The sequence below is a fragment of the Homo sapiens genome, chromosome 21 (assembly GCF_000001405.40).
Source record: "Homo sapiens chromosome 21, GRCh38.p14 Primary Assembly".
In the NCBI taxonomy this organism is placed as follows: Eukaryota; Metazoa; Chordata; class Mammalia; order Primates; family Hominidae; genus Homo; species Homo sapiens.
Genome location: NC_000021.9, coordinates 39,570,549 through 39,590,805, shown reverse-complemented (window position 1 = coordinate 39,590,805; position 20,257 = coordinate 39,570,549).

The window sequence follows — 20,257 nt, the reverse complement described above, 5'->3', positions numbered from 1 at the left end:
ATCTCTGGCTTAATTCTCTTATGGTCAGAGAATACTTTTCAACATTTCAATTATTTTAAATGTGTTAAGGTTTGTTCTATGGGCCAGAATATGGTCTATCTTGTTCAATGCTGTGTGTATGTTTGGAAACCATATGTATTCTGCTGCTGTAGGGTGGAATGTTTTATAAATGTCAATTACATCAAATTGGTTCATAATGTCATTCAAGCCGTCTATAGTTTGTTGACTTATTTGCTCTCTCAATTACTAAGAGGAATGTTGAAGTGTCCAAGCAGAATCATAGATTTGTCTATGTCTACTTTTAACTCTATCCATTTTAGATTCATATTTTAAAATTTACATGTATACACATTTAGATGATTCTTCTTCTTGGTAAGCTGACCATTTTATCATTGTCAAATGCCCCTCTTTATTCCTGGTAAGTTTTGTATGCTCTGAAGTCTACTTTGTGTGATGTTAATGTAGTCACTCCAGGTTACCACTGATTGATACTTTCATCCTTTTATTTTTAACCTGTCATTATAATTAGAAATTGATTTTTTTGTACTCAGCATATAATTAGGTCTTGTTTTCTTGTCCCAACTGACAATCTCTGATTTTTAATTTGTATTTTTAGACCACTTGTATTTCACATAATTATTAATATGGTCAGGTAAGTCTTCCATGTTATTTGTTTTCTGTTCATTTCTTTGTTTTTTATTCCAGTGTTTCTGCCTCCCAGGCTTCAATGTGTTTAGATTTCCATTTTAATTCATCTATAGGCTTTTTAACAACATCACATAGTACTTTGATTTTTAGTCGTCATTCTAGGGCTTACAATATAAATGAATACATACATATATTATATATAAATGTGTGTATATATGTATATGTATAGACCCTATGTATATTTCACAGTCTACCTGGAATTCATATTTTATACTACTTCAAGTAAAATGTAGAAGACTTACAACCATATAGGTTCTTTTGCCTTTCTCACTTTTTATTATAGTTGTAATATGTATCATTTCTTCACATATTAAAAACTCTACCAGTGTTATAATTTTTGCTTTTAACAGCCATATATATTTTTAAATACCTAAAAACAAAAAATCATCTTACTATGTCTACCCAGATATTTACCATTTCTGTTGCTCTTCTTTCACTCCTGAAGTTTTTTGTTTTTTTTTTTTTTTATTTTATTTATTTATTTATTTTTTTTGAGATGGAGTCTCACTCCGTCACCAAGATGGAGTGCAGTAGCACTATCTAGGCTCCCTGCAACCTCTGCCTCCTGGGTTCCAGTGATTCTCCTGCCTCAGCCTCCTGAGTAGCTGGAATTACAGGCATGTACCACCATGCCCAGCTAATTTTTGTATTTTTAGTAGAGACGGGGTTTCACCAGGTTGGCCAGGATGGTCTCGATCTCTTGACCTCGTGATCCACCCACCTCAGCCTCCCAAAGTGCTGGGATTACAGGCATGAGCTACCAGGCCCGGCCCACTCCTGAAGTTTTAAGTATCCCTCTGATATCATTTTTTCTCAGCCTAAAGAATTTCCCTTAGCATTTCTTTTAGAGCAGGTATGCTGGTGACAAACTCTTTAGTTTTCATTTATCTGATAATTCCTTAATTTGCCATCAATCCTGAAGAATATTTTCACTAGCTATCAAATTCTGGGTTGACTGTTTTTTTCTTTTGGCACTTTAATGATGTTGTTCCACTGTCCTCTCTACTCCATGGTTTCATATGAGGAATCTGCAGTCATGTGAAAAGTTGTTCTCCCATTTGTAGTTTCATTTTTCTGTGACTGCTTTCAAGATTGTTTCCTCTTCTTTGGTTTTCACCAATTTTATTGTTCCGTGTTTATATGTTCTTTTCCTTGATTTTATCCTGTTTAGGGTTTACTGGGTTTCTTGAGCCTATACAGCTGTGTCTTACCAAACTTGGGAAGTTTTTGGCCAGAATTTATTGAAATATTTTTTTCTGCTCCATTATTTCTCTATATTTCTTCTGAGATTCCAATGGCATAAATGTTAGATATTTTGGTATTGTTCCAAAAGTCTCTGAAGCTTTGTTACTATGGAATGAGTGTTTGTGTTCCCCCAAAATTCATATTGAAATCCTAACCCCCAAGGTGATGGTATTAGGAGGTGGGGCCTTTGAGAGGTGATTAGTTCATGAAGGTGGAGCCCTCTTGAATAGGATTAGTTGCCTTTTAAAAGATATTCTTTAATAAACATTGGAGACTATAAAAGATGGGAGGGTGGGAGGTGGGTGAGGGCTGAAAATTACCTATTGGGTACAATGTTCACTGTTTGGGTTATGGGTTCACAGAAAGCCCAGACTTCACCATTACATAATATATACACGTAAGAAATCTGCACTTGTACTTTCTAAATACATACTTTTTAATTTTTTAATAAAATAAAAGATATCCCAGAGAGCTCTCTCACTCTTTCCACCATCTGAGATTATAATAATAAGATGGCTATCTGTAACCTGGAAGAGGTTCCTCACCATAACCTGACCATGGTAGCACCCTGATCTCAGACTTTCAGCCTCCAAACTGTGAGGAATAAATTTCTGTTGTTTACAATCCACTCAGTCTACGGTACTTTCTTATAGTAGCACAAACTGACTAAGAGATTTCTTCATCTTCTTTCTAATTTATTCTTTCTATTCTTCAAATCTACTTATCTTTCTTCAAATTCACTGACTCTTTGTTTTGTCATCTTCATTCTGCTATTGAGCCCATCCAGTAATTTCTCTTTTAATTTCAGATGAGGGTATTTTTCAGTCCTAAACTTTCTATTTGCTGACAATGTCTAACTTTCTACTCATTTCAAGAGTGTTTACCTTTATTTCATGAGTGTTTACCTTTACTTCATGGAGTATAATTATAATAGTTGCTTTAATGTCTTTGTCTGATAATTCCAACATTTGAGTAATCTCAGGGTTGGCATCTGTTGATTGTGTTTTCCCTTGAGAATTGGCTACATTTTTCTGGTTCTTTGTATGTTGAGCAAATATGCATTGTATCCTGGATAGCTTGCATATTATGTTATAATATGACCCTGGGTCACATTAAAATCTTCTGAAGAACGTTGTTTTTTTTTTATTCTTAACATTGTTATTTAAGCAGTCAACCTGGTTACATTCAGACCGTAAGTTTTTTCTCACCTTCTCTGGCAGTAGTTTCAAGGTCAGTTCAGTTTTCAACGTCAGACTTATCTCTACATTCCCAGGTCCCAAGAGGCCCCTTATCTATTCTTCTGTCCTGAAAAATAAATCTATCAGAGTTCTAGCTGCTGCCATTGCTGCCATGCAGTTCTATGCAAATGGGGCTCTATTTAACGTAAAGCAGTAAGAGAAAGGAGAAAGAAAAAAATCACTTTTTGGAACACAGAGGTCTCTTTCTCCAGTTTCTTCTCCCTGCCAGAGAGACAAAGCTGTCAATGTTGTTTCCGGATCGTTCCACACTAGAGCCACATCTTGGGACATGGTCAGAAGAGAAAATGAAAACATGGAGATTCATTCTACACTCTCAGGCTTGCAGAGCCCCCCTTTTTTCAGACAGAGATAGAAAAATGGGGCTTTTCATCAGGTTCTTGTTGCCCACAGCTTCTGCATAGTTCCATGACTAGGACCACCCACAGGTCAAAGATAAAAGGTGAAAGAGGGCAGGCGCGGTGGCTCACGCCTGTAATCCCAACACTTTGGGAAGCCAAGGTGGGTGGATCACGAGGTCAGGAGTTTGAGACCAGCCTGTCCAACATGATGAAACCTCTTCTCTACTAAAAATACAAAAATTAGCTTGGCATGGTGGCATGTGCCTATAATCCCAGCTACTCAGGAGGCTGAGGCAGGAGAATAGCTTGAACCCAGGAGGCGGAGGTTGCAGTGAGCTGAAATCGCACCACTGCACTCCAGCCTCAGGGACACAGCAAGACTGTCTCAGAAAAAAAAAAAAAGGTGAAAGGAAGAAAGAAAACAGAGAACTTACCTTATTTGGGTCACTTCTTCAGGCTTTGATTCCTCTCCTGAATTTGCCTACTATTTTTACTTTTCAGAGCCATCAGGTAATTGCTTTTTTTTTTTCTTTTTCTTTTTAGTTGACATGTGGTAATCGTACATATTTATAGGATATAGAGAGATATTTTGATACATGTATGCAATTTATAATGATCAAATCAGGATAATTCACATATCAATCACCTCAAAGATTTATCATGTATTTGTGTGGTGAACATTCAAAACCCTCTCTTCCAGCTTTTTTAGACAAAACTTACTGTTAACCATGTTCATCCTACAGTGCTGCAGAAAACTAGAACTTATTCTTCCCATGTAGCTGTAACTTTATATCATTAGCCAACCTCTCCCTATCATCCCTTACCTCCTACCCTTCTTATCCTCTGATAACTAAAATTCTACTCTCTGCTTTTATGAGCTTAATTTTTTTTAGTTCCCACAAATGAGTGAGAACATACAAAGTTTGTCTTTCTGTGCCTGGCTTATTTCACTTAATATAATGACCTCCAGTTCCATCCATGTTGCTGCAAATGACATGATTTCATTCTTTTTAATTGATGAATAGTATATATATACACATACACACATACACACATATATATATACACACATATATATATACACCATATACCATATATATGCCAGATTTCCTTTATCCATTCTTCCATTGGTGAAGCCTTAGGTTGATTTCATATATTTGCTATTGTAAATAGCATTGCAATAAATGGAAGTGCAGGTACCCTTTGACATACTGAGATCTTTTCCTTTGGGTAAATATCTGGTAGTGGGATTGCTAGATCATATGGCAGTTCTCTTTCTAGTTTTTTGAGATACCTCTATACTGTTTTCCATAGTGACTATACTAATTTGCATCCCACCAGTAGTATATGAGTTCCCTTTTCTGCTGACCCTTGCCAGCATCTGTTATTTTTTGTCTTTTTGATGACAGCTATTGTAACTGGGGTGAGATGATAGCTCATTATGGTTTTGATTTGCATTTCCCTAATGATTGCTAATGTTGAGCATGTTTTCATATGTTGTTGGCATTTCTACATCTTCTTTTGAGAAATGTTTATTCAGATCTTTTGCCCATTCTTTAATCAGATTATTTGTTTTTCTGCTGTTGAGTTGTTTGAGTTTCTTGTATATTCTGGAAATTAGTTCCTTCCCAGATGAATAGTTTACAAATATTTTCCCCCATTCAACAGGTCATCTCGTCACTCTGTTGATTGTTTTCTTTGCTGTGCAGAAGCTTTTTGGTTTTATATAGTCCCATTTGCCTATTTTTCATTTTGTTGCCTGTGCTTTTGAAGTCTTACCCATAAAATCTTTGCCTAGACTCGTGTCCTGAAGTATTTCTGCTGTTTTCTTCTAGTAGTTTTATCATTTCTGGTTTTATGCTTAAATCTTCAATCTATTTTGAGTTGATTTTTTATATGGTGAGAGATAGGGGTCTAGTTTCATTCTTTTTCATATGGCTATTCAGCTTTCCCAGCACCATTATTGAAGAATACATCCTTTCCTCAATGTATGTTCTTGATGTCTGTGTCGGAAATCAGTTGGCTATAGATACATGGATTTATCTCTGGGTCCTCTATTCTGTTCCATTGGTCAATGTGTCTGTTTTTATACTGATACCATGTTGTTTTTATTACTATTGCTTTGTAGTATATTATGAAGTCAGGTAGTGTGAGGCCTCCAGCTTTATTCTTTTGGCTCAATGTTACTTTAGCTATTTGGGGTCTTTTGTGGTCTCATGTAAATTTTAGGGTTGTTTTTTCTATTTCTGTGAAGAATATCATTAGTATATTGACAGTGATTGAATTGAATCTGTAGATTGCTTTGGGTAGCATCAGGTATTTGCTTTTTGTGTTTGCCTGGAGTTATTAGTTGTAATCTGTGGTAGAAATGAGCTATACTGGGCTTAACTCATATTGGCCAGCACCAGAAGTATGTGTCTTAGGTTATGTTAGATGAGGCAATACAGACGCATCTTTAGAAAGAATTACAATTCTTAATTATTATTATGTTAACTTTCATCATGCTAATTTTTAAATGTGTATTTTCACTCATGCTAATGTGGACACCAATATAACAACTATTTCTTATTCTGTGACCAATCTATCCTGACTAATCATTTTAATATTGTTTTTGCCCAAATTTAGTCTCCAAATTTAGAATCATAAACTAAGATGTCTTTTACACCTAAAATGTCTTTGGGGTTTCCTAAGTAGCCACTAATACATGTGTATATTGGCTACTTCATCGTGTAAAAGGAAAAATAACAAAAATAATTGAGTTTATTTGGCATTCTCCAGATTTTGATTAAGCAAAACTATCTTGAGAGCTCTTCTGCTTATCAAACTCAGGATATAAGAAAATCCTGGCTGGGCGCGGTGGCTCACGCCTGTAATCTCAGCACTTTGGGAGGCCGAGGTGGGCAGATCACAAGGTCAAGAGATCAAGACCATCCTGGCCAACATGGTGAAACCCCGTCTGTACTAAAAATCCAAAACATCAGCTGGGCATGGTGGCACGCATCTGTAGTCCCAGGTACTCAGGAGGCTGAAGCAGGAGAATGGCTTGAACCCGGGAGGCAGAGGTTGCAGTGAGCCAAGATCGTGCCACTGCACTCCAGCCTGGCCACAGAGTGAGACTCTGTCAAAAAAAAAAAGGGAAGGGAAGGGAAGGGAAGGGAAGGGAAGGGAAGGGAAGGGAAGGGAAGGGAAGGGAAGGGAAGGGAAGGGAAGGGAAGGGAAGGGAAGGGAAGGGAAGGGAAGGGAAGGGAAGGGAAGGGAAGGGAAGGGAAGGGAAGGGAAGGGAAGGGAAGGGAAGGGAAGGGAAGGGAAGGGAAGGGAAGGGAAGGGAAGGGAAGGGAAGGGAAGGGAAGGGAAGGGAAGGGAAGGGAAGGGAAGGGAAGGGAAGGGAAGGGAAGGGAAGGGAAGGGAAGGGAAGGGAAGGGAAGGGAAGGGAAGGGAGAAAATCCTAACTAATTAAAAGAGAAATTTAATCTTCCTAGCTTAATTATATAGAAGCAATATATTGTTAACATAGCTATGTCTTTGTGAATACACACTTTTCAGGTTAAGAAGAAGGATACATATTTTCACGCACAAAAACTGATATGTTAATAGTCTACCAATTCACTTGTTGTAAGAGAGATTTTGTTCCTACGTTTAACTATCCTTCTCTTTTGGGGATAATTATAATTCACTTTATGTTTTAAAATAGAACACTGGAGGTCTGTCAATGCTCTGTCTATAATAAGTTTCTACTCTAAAGTGATTATTTATAATATTCCTATAAATTTACATATATTATACCTTAAAGGAGGATATTTTTCTTTATTCTGATACTATTTATTATTACAATAACTCTAAATAGTAATATGGTTTACATTTAATTTGCTTACCATTGTTTAGTCATGAGGCTTTTATTTCTTACTGACCATTCTAATTCCATGACAAACTGAAACCAAGATGATAGTGCCAACCTGAAAATGTGATCATTTGCCTTCCCAAAAGGAGGGATTCGAAGAGTTGAATTTCCATTTATAGCATCATTTGAATCATCAAAACTGCCTGTTGTTTCCTGACAGCGAACAACTAGTCTTCTTTTGACAGACTGGGAACATTTACGGACTCATCCCATCCTGTGTAGAAGGCAGTTTTTAAGGCTTAACTATCATAATCACCATGAACTCCTCATTTCTAGCAGTTAAAAAACCCTGACCTTTCCCACTAGCAAATACAGTCATGCGTCGCTTACCAAAAGGGATACATTTTGAGAAATGCGTTCTTAGGCAATTTCATCATTGTGTGAACATCATAAGTGACATAGCCTACTGCATAGCATACTACACACCTGGAGTAGATGGTACAGCCTATTGCTATGGGCTACTCGATGACACAACTAGCTACACACCTAGGCTACAAACATGTGCAGCATGTTACTCTACTGAATACTGTAGGCAATTGTAATGCAATGGTAAGTATTTGTTTATCTAAACATATCCTAACTCACAAAAGGCACACAAAAATATATTATAATCTGATGGGACACTGTTGTACATGCATTCTGTCATTGACAGAAATGTTATGTGGCACATGACGGTAACTGACTCTTAACTGACTCTGTTTTGTAATTGTTTATTTGTTCTCTGACATGTACATTTCCCCATTTAACTCTCATAAAAGTTGTAAAATAGAGAAAATATTATATGTTCCTTGGAACTTGAGAGAAGTTCTGTTTTTTTTACCCAAGAATAAGCAGCTGGTTAAGACAAAACCAAGATGCAAACCCAGGCCTGTCTGATTTCTGAGTTCACGCTCTTGTCTACTGTATTAATGTATTAGTGTCCTGTGGCTGCGGTGACAAATGACCACAAATTCAGTGGCTTAAAACAACACAAATTTATTATCTTATAGTTCTGGAGGGCAGAAGTGTCTCATGGTCTCATGGGGCTAAAATCAAGACAGCAGCAGGGCTACTTTCCTTTCTGGACGCTCTAGGGGAGAATTCATTTTCTTGCCGTTTCTGGCTTCCGGAGACCACCCTCATGCCTTGGCTTTTGACCCCCTCCTGCATCTTCAAAGCCAGCAACAGCCAGTTGAGTCCTCCCTACACTGTCATCGTTCTGGTCCTTCTGCCTCCCTCCTCCACTTTTAAAAACCCTCATGATTCTAATTGGCCTACCTAGATAATCCAAGATAACCTCCCTAATTTAACGTTAGTTGATTACCAAACCTAATTCCATCTGCAATTTCAATCTGCCTTTCCATGTGACCTAACATAGTCACAGGTTCCAGGGATGAAGACGTGGACCTCTTTGCAGGGCCATTATTCTGCCAGCACACCTATGTGATAGACTGTCTCATTTCCGAACACCCTTGAGCTGCCCTGTGATTAGTTACAAAGTTACCTAAAGATGGAGAATTTGCCATTTCTTTAAAGTATGGCTTTACTAAGTGACCACATCAAAGGTTACCACCTGCGTTGCCAATGTCGTATAATAAATGACAAAACCAGAGTAGCCAGGGCATCCCGACTGCTCTCTACAGGCCCCTTGGCAGGACAGCCTCATATCTACCCACACACATTTCTCATAGACTTAACCCACAATATCCCCATTTCCAGGGACTCCCACCTGTTGGTGGTGTAGGGATCTGTTCATAGCTCTTGGCCTAGACCTTGCCCCACTGGCCAGGACACTAAGTAGCCAGCAGGGGCAGTAGCATCAAATACCTCTGCCACCTCCTCCCAAGAGTTAGGTAACTGTCCCTAGGCCCACTTGCCCACCTTGCATTTATGTTGTCATTTAAAAAGCATCAGAAAAAAAAGGAACAGCTTATTGCTAAGTCTTTCAAAATCAACTCCATGTTAAAGAAAGCACACTCAGTGAGGCAGGACATAGAGGCAGCAGGCAGCAGCTAGGACTGCACTGGCAAAACTAGGCCAAGTAGAGCCCATTTCTGCTCAGATCGGCTCGCTCCCTGGACAGCCTTCAGGTCTAAAGATGACAACATGGCCCTGTTCTGACTCAAATCCATTCATCCAACAGGCTTCCCTAGGACACAGGCCTTCAGGCTACACTCAGCTGAGTTGGCTGTCCTTCCAGATCCCCCAAGAGTCAGTTCCAGAACCTGCACCCTCACCAATGTCCCCACAGCTATGGTCCTGCCAGGGCAAGAAACCAGCCTGAGCTGTCCTTCCCTTTGGCAATGTCTGGGAATCCCACCTGCTTGGTCCCAGGACTGATTTAATCCATGGCAGTGCTTGGCCAGACACACCACAGCTCAAACACCTCAAGGAAAAAAAAAAGTTACAGAAAAGCAAACTGCAACCCTCCCTTGATAAAGTGCAGGAAGTATTGTACCATATCAATTTAGATAACATGTAGATTTGTCAAGGACAGAGAGGAGATAATAAAAATGAATACTAGTAAAGTGGGAGAAGCCCTATAAAATGAATCTAAAGATGACGCCCTTCTGTTTACAATCTCATAACCTCAGGTAAGCCCCTCCGACAGCCTTGGACCAAAGGGTCATGTGCAGGTTCACTGAGAAACAGGACTGGCACACAGTGGCCTTCAACAAGTGATGGATGGATGAATGAATGAGTGCAGGATAGGCTGAAATCCCGAGCGGAAGATGTGAAGCCATAGGTAGAGATTTATTTGAATCCTTCATTGGTAACTAAAATCTTAAGATCAGTCACGGCATATAGGGTTAAAACCGAAAAGAGCAGTGTTTTAGTCCATTCTCATGTTGCTATAAAGAAATACCGAGACTGGGTAATTTATAAAGAAAAGAGGTTTAATTGGCTCATGGCTCAGCAGGCTGTACAGGAAGCTTGACAGCTTCTGGGGAGACCTCAGGAAATTTTCAGTCATGGCAGAAGGAGAGCAAGAAGCAGGTGCACGTTTTACATGACCAGAGCAGGTAGAAGAGAGAGAAGGGGGAGCTACCGCACACTTTTAAATAACCAGATCTCACAATAACTCGCTCATTGTCACAACCAAGGGCGATGGCACTAAACCATTCATGAGAAAACTGTAACCACCCAATGAGTTCACCTTTCCCGCTGCCCAGACAAGAGCCAATTTATCAAGACAGGGGAACGGCAGTGGCGAAAGAGTAATTCACTCAGAGCCGGCTGTGCGGGAGACCGGAGTTTTATGATTACTTAAATCCGTCTCGGGGATCAGAGTTTTTAAAGATAATTTGGCGGAGAGGGGCTTGGGAAGTGAGAAGTGCTGATTGGTCAGGCCGGAGGTAGAATCAGAGGGAGTTTTCTTAATGTCCTCTGTTCCTGGGTGCGACGGCAGAACTGGTTGGGCCAGATGACTGGTCTGGGTGGTGTCAGCTGACCCACCAAGGGCAGGATCTGCAAAGTATCTCAAGCCCTGATCGTAGGTTTCACAATAGTGATGTTATCCCCAGGAGCAATTTGGTGAGGTTCAAACTCTTGGAGCCAGAGGCTGCATAACCCTTAAATTGCAATTTCTAATCTTGTAGCTAATTTGTTAGTCCTGCAAAGGCAGACTAGTTCCCAGGCAAAAAGGGAAAGGGCTGTTATCGATTTTGTTTTCGAGTCAAACGATGAACTGAATTCCGTCCCAAAGTTAGTTCAGCCTATACCCAGGAATGAACAAGGACAGCTTAAAAGTTAGAAGCAAGGTAGAGTCGGTTAGGTCTGATCTCTTTCACTGTCATAATTTCCTCAGTTATAATTTCGCAAAGGCGGTTTCAAAACGCCCCCATGATCCAATCACCTCCCATCAGGACCCGCCTCCAACACTGGGGATTATAACTGAACATAAGATTGCGGTGGGGACACAAATCCAAGCCATATCAGATAGAGTATCTGGCATCTCTTAGGAAGGAGGCAGAAGTGGAGACGTGCCCTTCTGACAGTGGAGTCAGAACCATGCGGAAAGCACCCCTTACACTGCAAATGCCCTGGGGTTTTTATGGGTCTTGGGTGAAAAGCCAAGTTCAGGGATTCCCATGTATTTAGTAAGAAGACTGCTTGCTTTTTTTTTTTCTTTACATAAAAAAAGAGGTCCTGGATCCCTTCACATAATAACATCTGCTGCCTGAGAAGACAAACACTGACGAAAGACCACCTAGATTTTAAAGGAATTTGCACTTTCTGTTTCACAAGGGCCTTTCCACACATTTACACAAAAAATGGAACACAGAGATTCTTTATCCAGGATACTCCCACGGTTGAGGGCACACTGGGATTCCAGAGCCCCTTTTCAGAGCTCTCTGCTCCTCAGGGGTTTGGAAATTCTAGTAAAGTGGAGAAATATCCTGGACTTTGAGTCAGACAACTGATTTTGAAGTTATTTTCTGGTTCACAAAAGCTCTATGATTGTGAGCAGGTTATGTAACTCTCTGAGCCTTGGTTTCTTTATCTGTAAACAGGGAATAATACTAATTCCCTTACAGGTTTACTGTGAAGATTGACTCCAATAACATATGCAAAACAGCAGGCACAGAGTAGGCGCTCAATGAAAGTTAGCATCCTTCCTCTCAACATGCAGGTCACATGTAAATTCACACCCAAAAATGAAAACCTAGGAAAAGAAAATAAATACAACTCTGAATACTTATATCAAAATAATTATCAGATAAATCAACTTTCCTCTATTCCTATTTTTCCCTAGATTAGTTTGGAAATTATTTTCTCTTTCTATCTGTTGGGGCAACGAAGTTCCTCTTCAAAGACTCAACTTTCTGGTCATAAGCTGTATAAGTTGTAAATCAATCCTACCCCCTTTCTTCTTCAAATGCAAATAGCACATTTACCCTTTTTGGAAAAAGTTTAAGTCTTAGCCAATCAGGATTAGCTTAGATTGTGTGGTCCAACCCCAGCCAACAGGAGAAGGACACAGAAACAGGAACTGCGTTAGGATTAAAAACTCCTTTCCTCCTTTGTTCAGTGTGCTTTTGCGATTGTAACAGGCGCAAGCAGCACCCTTCTGCAGAAGTAAAGGTACCTTGCTGAGAAATTTTCTGTCTAAGTGCAGGTTTCTTTTGGCTACGCTGAGTACTTGTTTCCGACATATCCTTTTGCTAGTATCCTTTAAAATTAGACTAGGCATATGTCTATAGACATATACAAAGTCCAAAGTTAGTCCAATCTCTCTCATCCTCCTGAGCAATGCAAAAACATCACAATGTGGACTCCGGTCACCCTTCCCCAGGTCACATGGCATTATTGTCCTGCATTGCATCTTACCTCATTTATAGCCCAAAACTAGTCTTCATTATTTTTATTTTATATAGTCTGTGCTTTTGTCTTTTAGTGGTCTTTTTCATTGAGGGTCTACTACTTTCCATTCATGTTGCACTCACTCTTCAATGATCGCTAGCTGGCTCTAGAATTCTAGATTGATAGTAATTTCTCTCATATATTTGAAAATGCTCACTTGGCATAACAGTTATTAAACACAGGCTTCATCCTCAGAATCCCTGGGATCCCATCGTGACTTTGCCAATTAGGAGCTATCCGACCTTAGCAAATGACTCAAAGTCTCTGTGCCTCAGTTTTCTCATTGGAAACATAAGAATAATATTAGCTCACATCTTATAGGGTTACTGTAAAAATTAAATGAGATAATAAGTGTAAAGCACTTAGAACACAATTCCTTAAATAAGGCTGACTATTATTTTTATTATTACTTTATTGTCTTCTGACTTTTAATGTTTCTGTTGGGAAGTCTGATGGTGCCAAACGTCCTGTGTCTCTTGCATTTAACCTGACTTTGCTCCTCATTACTTTTAGGTAGGACCTTTGTTTTTGGTGTTTTGTGGTTTCATTGCTGTGTGTCTAGATGTTGATTTGTTTTTTTAAATTTATGCTGCTTAGGTCTCATTGTGCTTCCTGAATCTAAGGTTTCATTTCCTTCACGGAAATTAGGAAATGCTCAGCCATTATTTCTTTGAATATTACCTCTATTTCTTCTATTATCTCTCTCTGGAAATTCTGTTACACAACTGTTGGGATCTCTTTCTATCTTCCATTCTATTGACCTTGCCTTTATATTCTCTCTCTCATCTTCTAGATAATTTCTTCACATCTAATTTTTATTTCATTTATTTGGCTCTTTGCTCCATTTAGGTTTTAATTTCAATAGCTTTCTTCATTTATAGAAGTTCTATTTGATTTCTTTGCAATTCTTCTGGCCTTTTTTGTGTCTTTTTTCTTTTTTCATTCCTTCTAATGTCCTTAATGATTTTAAAATAAGTATTTCATGGTGTGTAACAAGTATTCTTTCACCTGAATATCTTGAAAGTCCTATCCTGTGCTGATGTGCCTGCTGACATTCCTGCATGGTGAATTCATTCTGCCATTTCTAACTGTGAGCTCATCTCAGTGGAGCTCTCTCTGTAATTATGCTGTGTGGTCTCATTTAAGAGTGTGTCCCCACAAAGCTGTTTGTTTCTGCTAGACACCCAGGGAAATTATCAGCCTAGACCACCTCGGTTCGTTGCTCAGCTGGATGGGTTGGTGGCTGTCAGACTCTGCAGGTAGAGCAAATGCAAGCCCCACCCCTACCTGAAGGCAGGTGAACACCCAAAGCCTGAGCCACAGCAGACATGCTTCCTTGTCACTTGCCCTGGTGGGCAGATTATTCTTCTAATCTGCCCTTTTATAGAAGATGCAGCAATCTGTGGGTCCTGACCTGATATAAATGTTTTCAGTTCCAGGTTTCTACCATAAGCTGTCCCAACACGATGCTCCTTTCCCAGCATGGGTATTAAAATCTAAACCCCTTGGTTAGGAAGATGAGCAAATCTCCCAAGGCAATAGCAGCATCATTCCTCTCTGACTGCTCTGTTTCTTAGGTCCTGCTCTGTTTTGGCCTAAAGGTGTCCCTCACTTTCTTGCAAGTGGAACTTTCCTTTAGAAGAAACTTGGTTGTATTTTATCTATTATTTCTAGTTGTTTTGTTTTGTTTTGTTTTCTATGGCAAAACTATTGTTTTGCTATAAAAAAATAACAGTTTTGGGGTATGTGGATTACATCATTGATAAAAATAGAAGTCCTAATCTGTGTATTTTTTAAGTTTTTAAAATTTAACATTAAATTCAAAAAGAATACCAAAGAACTCTTTAGAGACTTAAGCTACTTTTTTAAACCACAGAATTTGAATACATTTAATACAATGACATTATTCTTATTATGACTTCTAAGCTAATCATGGAAGCAAGGGAATGTTCAAATTTAAATTTCCTCTTACTGAAGCTCAAGGAAAGCTCAAAAACTTTCCTGAGTCAGCATCCTTTTCTCAAAAGCTTAACTGCCTGCACCAACACCTTACCAAGGCCAGTGAGTAAGAGAGGAAATATGCCCATATGTTTCCCTTGTAGGACTGCCAAACTGTTATTCTCTTCCATTTGTGGGCTAATTAAGCACCATGATTTCATTCTATTAAATATAACAATGCTAAATTTATATAATATATATATATGTGTGTGTGTGTGTGTGTGTGTGTGTGTGTATTCAGAACACTTGATAACACTTCATATACTGCCAATTTTCCAATGCCTATATTCACACTTAAAATCAATTTTTCCTATTTCCTTTTTTTTCCAGTTAACTCCTTGCTAGGAACATAGGAATACATTTATTTCTAAGTGGAATTTTTCCCTAATACATGCCTTAGGATTCTCCTTCTTCTATTTTGACATTCTTTAAATCTGGACTTTGTTGAAATCACTCTATCAGAATGTGAGCTCCTAGAGGGCAGGGACTTGTCTTCTTCAGCCCTATAACCTTTGCCATATAGTTTGTGCTCAGCAAATATATGTTGAATAAATGAAAGAACCTTTGAGCTTTTCCAAATTAACTTCCCTCCCAAAGCTGGAATTCTTTTTAATAGAATCCCCACAACCCAAACTTTGCCTAAATACTTCTAACGACACAGAGCTTTCCACAGCAGGAGGAAGCCTGTTCCACTCATGGCTACACCTGGTTATTTACTTGGTTTGGGTTTTTTTACTTGAATCACTCTACCCCTACACCTGTTCTACATGGGTCCCAGTTTATTCTTCTGTGGTAATGTTCCGCTATGGTGTGAATGTTTAGGTCCCTCCCCCAAAGTTCATGTGTTGAAATCCTAACTGCCAGTGCGATGGTATTAGGAGGTGGGACCATTGGGAGGTCATTAGGGTCATGGGGAGGGTGCTCTGATGAATGAGATTAGTGTCCTTTTTAAAGAGGTCCCAGAAAGCTGCCTTGCTCCTTCCATAATGTGAGGACACAGAGGAGAAGGTGCCCTTTATGGACAGGAAGCAGGTCTATACCAGACACCAAGTCTGCTGGCACCTTGATCTTGGATTTCTCAACTTCTAGAACGGTGAGAAATAAATGTCTGTTGTTTATAAGCCACCCCGGTTATGGTATTCTGTTCTTGTTATAGCAGCCCAAATGGACTACGACATGCTCCCCAGGATTGTACCTGATTCTTCATGGTAGCCTGTAAAAACACAACTCCCTTATCTTATAATAGATTCTTCGAGCTGTGCACGATCTTAGGTTTCATCCTAGAAATTGGGATTTTTTAGAATTTCCTCCACAGATTTGGATGCGGTTGATTCATGGGCCAGCACTAATGCATCACTTTATTCTGGCAACAAGTTCACCCCAAACTTCTCTCCTCCTCAGTTAATTGTTTCTCATTCCTGTAACCAGTCCTGGGCTTGGTCTAATCTGGGCATCCCTTTGGAAAATATGTCACCCCCATAAATGGATGTACACTCTAAGTGCTGTCGGCCCACCCAGGCAACGAAGGAAACGATGTGACACAGTTTTTCTATCAATGTGGCCTGAGCATTTCCGTTGCCTTATGTTTTGTCCCATTTTTAACTTATTGTCAGTTAAGTCTCCAGTTCTTTCTCATAAGCATAGCACATGCAGTCAGGGAAAGAAAACTAAATGCAGAAATTTTCATTTACTCTTTTTAAATTTTAAAATGATTTTTGGTCAATGTTTCAATATTTAGATCAATTGAAAATACTATACATTCCAAGCAAATGACAGAGATGAATGACCCAAAATAAGCCTAGACCTAGACTCAATACCACATATCTTAGCTGCTTGATTCGGAGCCTGGAAAAGAGAATTTGGAAGAAGCAAGTGAATGGACATAAGGGAGATCTTTCAATCCCATGTCAATGCCCCAGGGAGAGAATTCACCATGAAAAGGGCACTAAACAACCAAGTGGGCAGAATGACCTGGCCAGTTACTGTAGCCAGCCTCTGTCACCAGCCACACTAGCAGGCTCCTGAACAAAGGAGTCATAATGGCAAGGGTGGAGGTTACGCATGAGTCCAAACGCATGGGCTCCTATTCACCAGCTGATCTAACTACTGCTACTACCCAATGTCCAATTTGCAAGCAACAGAGACTACCTCTGAGCCTCCAAGATACAATCATCCCTGGAGAAGACTAACAAGACACGTCTTTGCAAGTTAATTACATCAGACCCCTTTCTGATGCAGCAATGCATCTTAATGGAAACCAACACATTTTCTGAGTATGGTTTTGCCTTTCTTGCCTAGAAAGCTTAGCCGGCATCACAGTCTGATAAAATTTATAAAACTATACACACACACACACACACACACACACACACACACACACACTTTTTTATCCACCAACTAAACAGCCTACATAACATTGCATATTGTGGGTCAAGAGACCCACTTTACAATAAAAGAAGTGTAGCAGTGTATACCTGAGCATGCAATCCCTTGGTCCTATCATATAACACTACACATGGAAGCTGCTAATTTAGTGAAGGCTTGGAATCACCGTTTGAAGATGCAACTGAGGCATCAGCTTGGAGGTGATAACCTGCAAAGATGAACCACCATCCTCCAGGAGGCAGCCTAAACCCTTCATGAAGGACCATCATATGGTGGTTTGTCTCCAATAAGCGGTCACAAGAACAAAAGGGGGAGGACAGAGTGGCCCTGCTCCCCATTACTCTCCGCGATCTGCTTGGGAAATTTGTACTTCTCGTGCCCACACACTCCAGGTGCTGTGGGTATAAGGTCCTAGTTGACAGAGAGGGAATGCTTCTTCCAGGGCACACAGTAAGAGTCCCATTGTGGTTTTTGCCCACTCTCTTTAAGCTTCTTGTGACAAGAGACCAACCAGACAGGAAAGTATTTCCCTCCCAGCAGGGGCCATTGACCCTGCTCGTTGGGGTGGGTAAGACTACTGTCATGAGTGGCAGTAGGGAAGATTACATTGGCACCCAGGTGATCCACTGCGTGTCTTTTGTTACACCCCTGCCCAATCTTGACAACAAATGTCCAAGTGTAGTTCTGTGTTAACATGGTAGCCAGGTGTTCAGACTCCTTAGGGATGAGGGTCTAGGTCACCCCCATGAGGTCAGCCACTTAGACCAGAAGTGCTACTCAGCCAAGGGCGGGGAATACAGAACGTGTAAGGGTAGAGGGAGAAGATGAGTGTGCGCTGTGACTTTGAGACGAGTTTAGCAATAAAGACTACAGGACTATAGGGCTCTCCTGAGTTTCCCTAGGAAAGATTAGCCAGAATGCTGGTGCAGCTGTTTAATTAAGCATGATTATGTGCTGCTACATCATCTGTTAGAAAAAAGGGGGAAAAGATACTAACTTGGAGCATTTGCCAATTACCATGGTGTAAAAATTTCCTCCATAGCCTATTTCAAGCTACCAATGGCTTAACAACTGTCCTGCAAAATTCCTGAAAAGTCTAACAATCTGCTGTCACAATCTGTTACAAGCTGGTTTCAGCACACCTTTGAAAGCACATTGCTCTGTGAAGGGAGTAGATCTGAGTCGATCTGGAGTAGATGCTCCAGGAATGTGAGATAGTAGATGCTGTCGCGTACTTCCTGGGTTCCCTACCCTACCCTTTTCAGCATTGAGCCGTCCAGGAATTGCCCTTGGCAAAGGAAGCTGCCTTTCCTAAGGTTTTGCTGGGACCGCCTGCATCTGATGAAGCGGGTGGAGTGGGGACAAAGGCTCAGCCCCCTTGCCTCAGTGGGATGGCTCTCAAGGGCCATCCTAGCTCCAGGGCTCCTAGCAGGATCCACTGATGGCCTGCGTTCAACCAAGGGCAACTCAATCACAGTTTACCTTCCCCCTCCACCCAATCATATTCCTCTCACCCCTCAAAAGAAAATATTCTTCAATAAGTCCCCAGCATGCAAAGCTCAGAGGCTCAGAATCTGATTCCCAGACCTACAAAAATTAAGAAGACATATTTTTGGCAAGAATCATCAAAATAGTGAAGAAGAGAAAGACCAAGAGAATGAGAGAGAAAATATATAAATAAATATAATATAAAATAAAAAGGGGACATAACTACAGGCAAAATGAGATTTGAAATAGTGTAAGAACACCCATATACTAATAAATCTGGGGACCTAGGTTAGAAAGGATCTATTTCTAGGAAAATTGGCTGTTTACTCTGCTGATAGTTTATTTTGCTTTTACAGAAGCTCCTTAGTATAATCAAGTCCCACCTGTCTATTTTCAGTTTTTTGCAATTGCTTTTGAAGACACTTGGGGTGCAGCAGGGGAGCTGTGCCTGCCCAGGATGGGAAAGGTTCACTTGGGGTGCAGCAGGGGAGAAAGATACACAAATACCAAACCTGGCACCAGGAAAAAAAGACAAATACAGAGTAAATGTTAGAGAAACTGATGTAGTGGTCAAAGATCTCTGCTACCAAAAGACCTCCAGTCTCTGACAATTTTCCTTGTTAGATCTCCCAAACATTCAAGAAACCATTAATTCCTAAGTTATCTTGTCTTAATCTAAGATGTTCACAAAATATTAAAAGAGCAAAATAAATCGGACACACTCACTTTAAGAGAGATAATGTAATCTTAATTCTAAAACCAGAAAACAACAATGCGAATTACACACACACACACACACACACACACACACACACACACATCTATATTTGCAAACTCATTTTGTTCTTTATTTTACTAAATCATTTATTTAGCAAAAATTCTAAATAAAATATTAGCTAGCTAAATCTAACTCTATGTACTTTTGAAAAATACAATGTGACCAAATAGAGTTTATTCTAGGAAAACAAAGAAAAATCTGTCAATGTAATTTACAACATTCATAGACTAAAAGTACGTACAATCTCATGACCATTTCAATCAGGAATGACAAAGTATTTGACAAGTTTCAGTGTATATTTTATAATTTAAAAGGTCTCTGGAATAGAAATCAGTTTCTTAAACTTCATAAAGCTTGTATACCAAAATGTTACAGCAAACATCAAGGGAGAGATGCTAGAAGCACTTTAAAATCAGGATAAGACAAGGATGTCCATGATACCACTTCTGCTCATTCTAACAAGGAAGGAAACAGCAACCCCAGATATAGGAATTGGGAAGGAAGCAACAAATCTGTCATTTTCTGTACCTTCTAAGAAATACAAACAGAATCAGGGGACAAATCTCTTGAACTAATGAGTGGGTTCAGAAAGAGCGCCAGAAACGAGCTTACCCAGGCTGGACTCAGTGGCTCACATCTGCAATCCAAGCACTTGGGGAGGCCGAGGCAGGAGAATTGCTTGAGCGCAGGGGTTCGAGACCAGCCTGGACAACATGATGAAACCCTGTCTCTACTAAAAATACAAAAAATTGGCTGGGCATGGTGGCGTGCATCTATGACCCCAGCTACACAGGAGACTGAGATAGGAGGATCACCC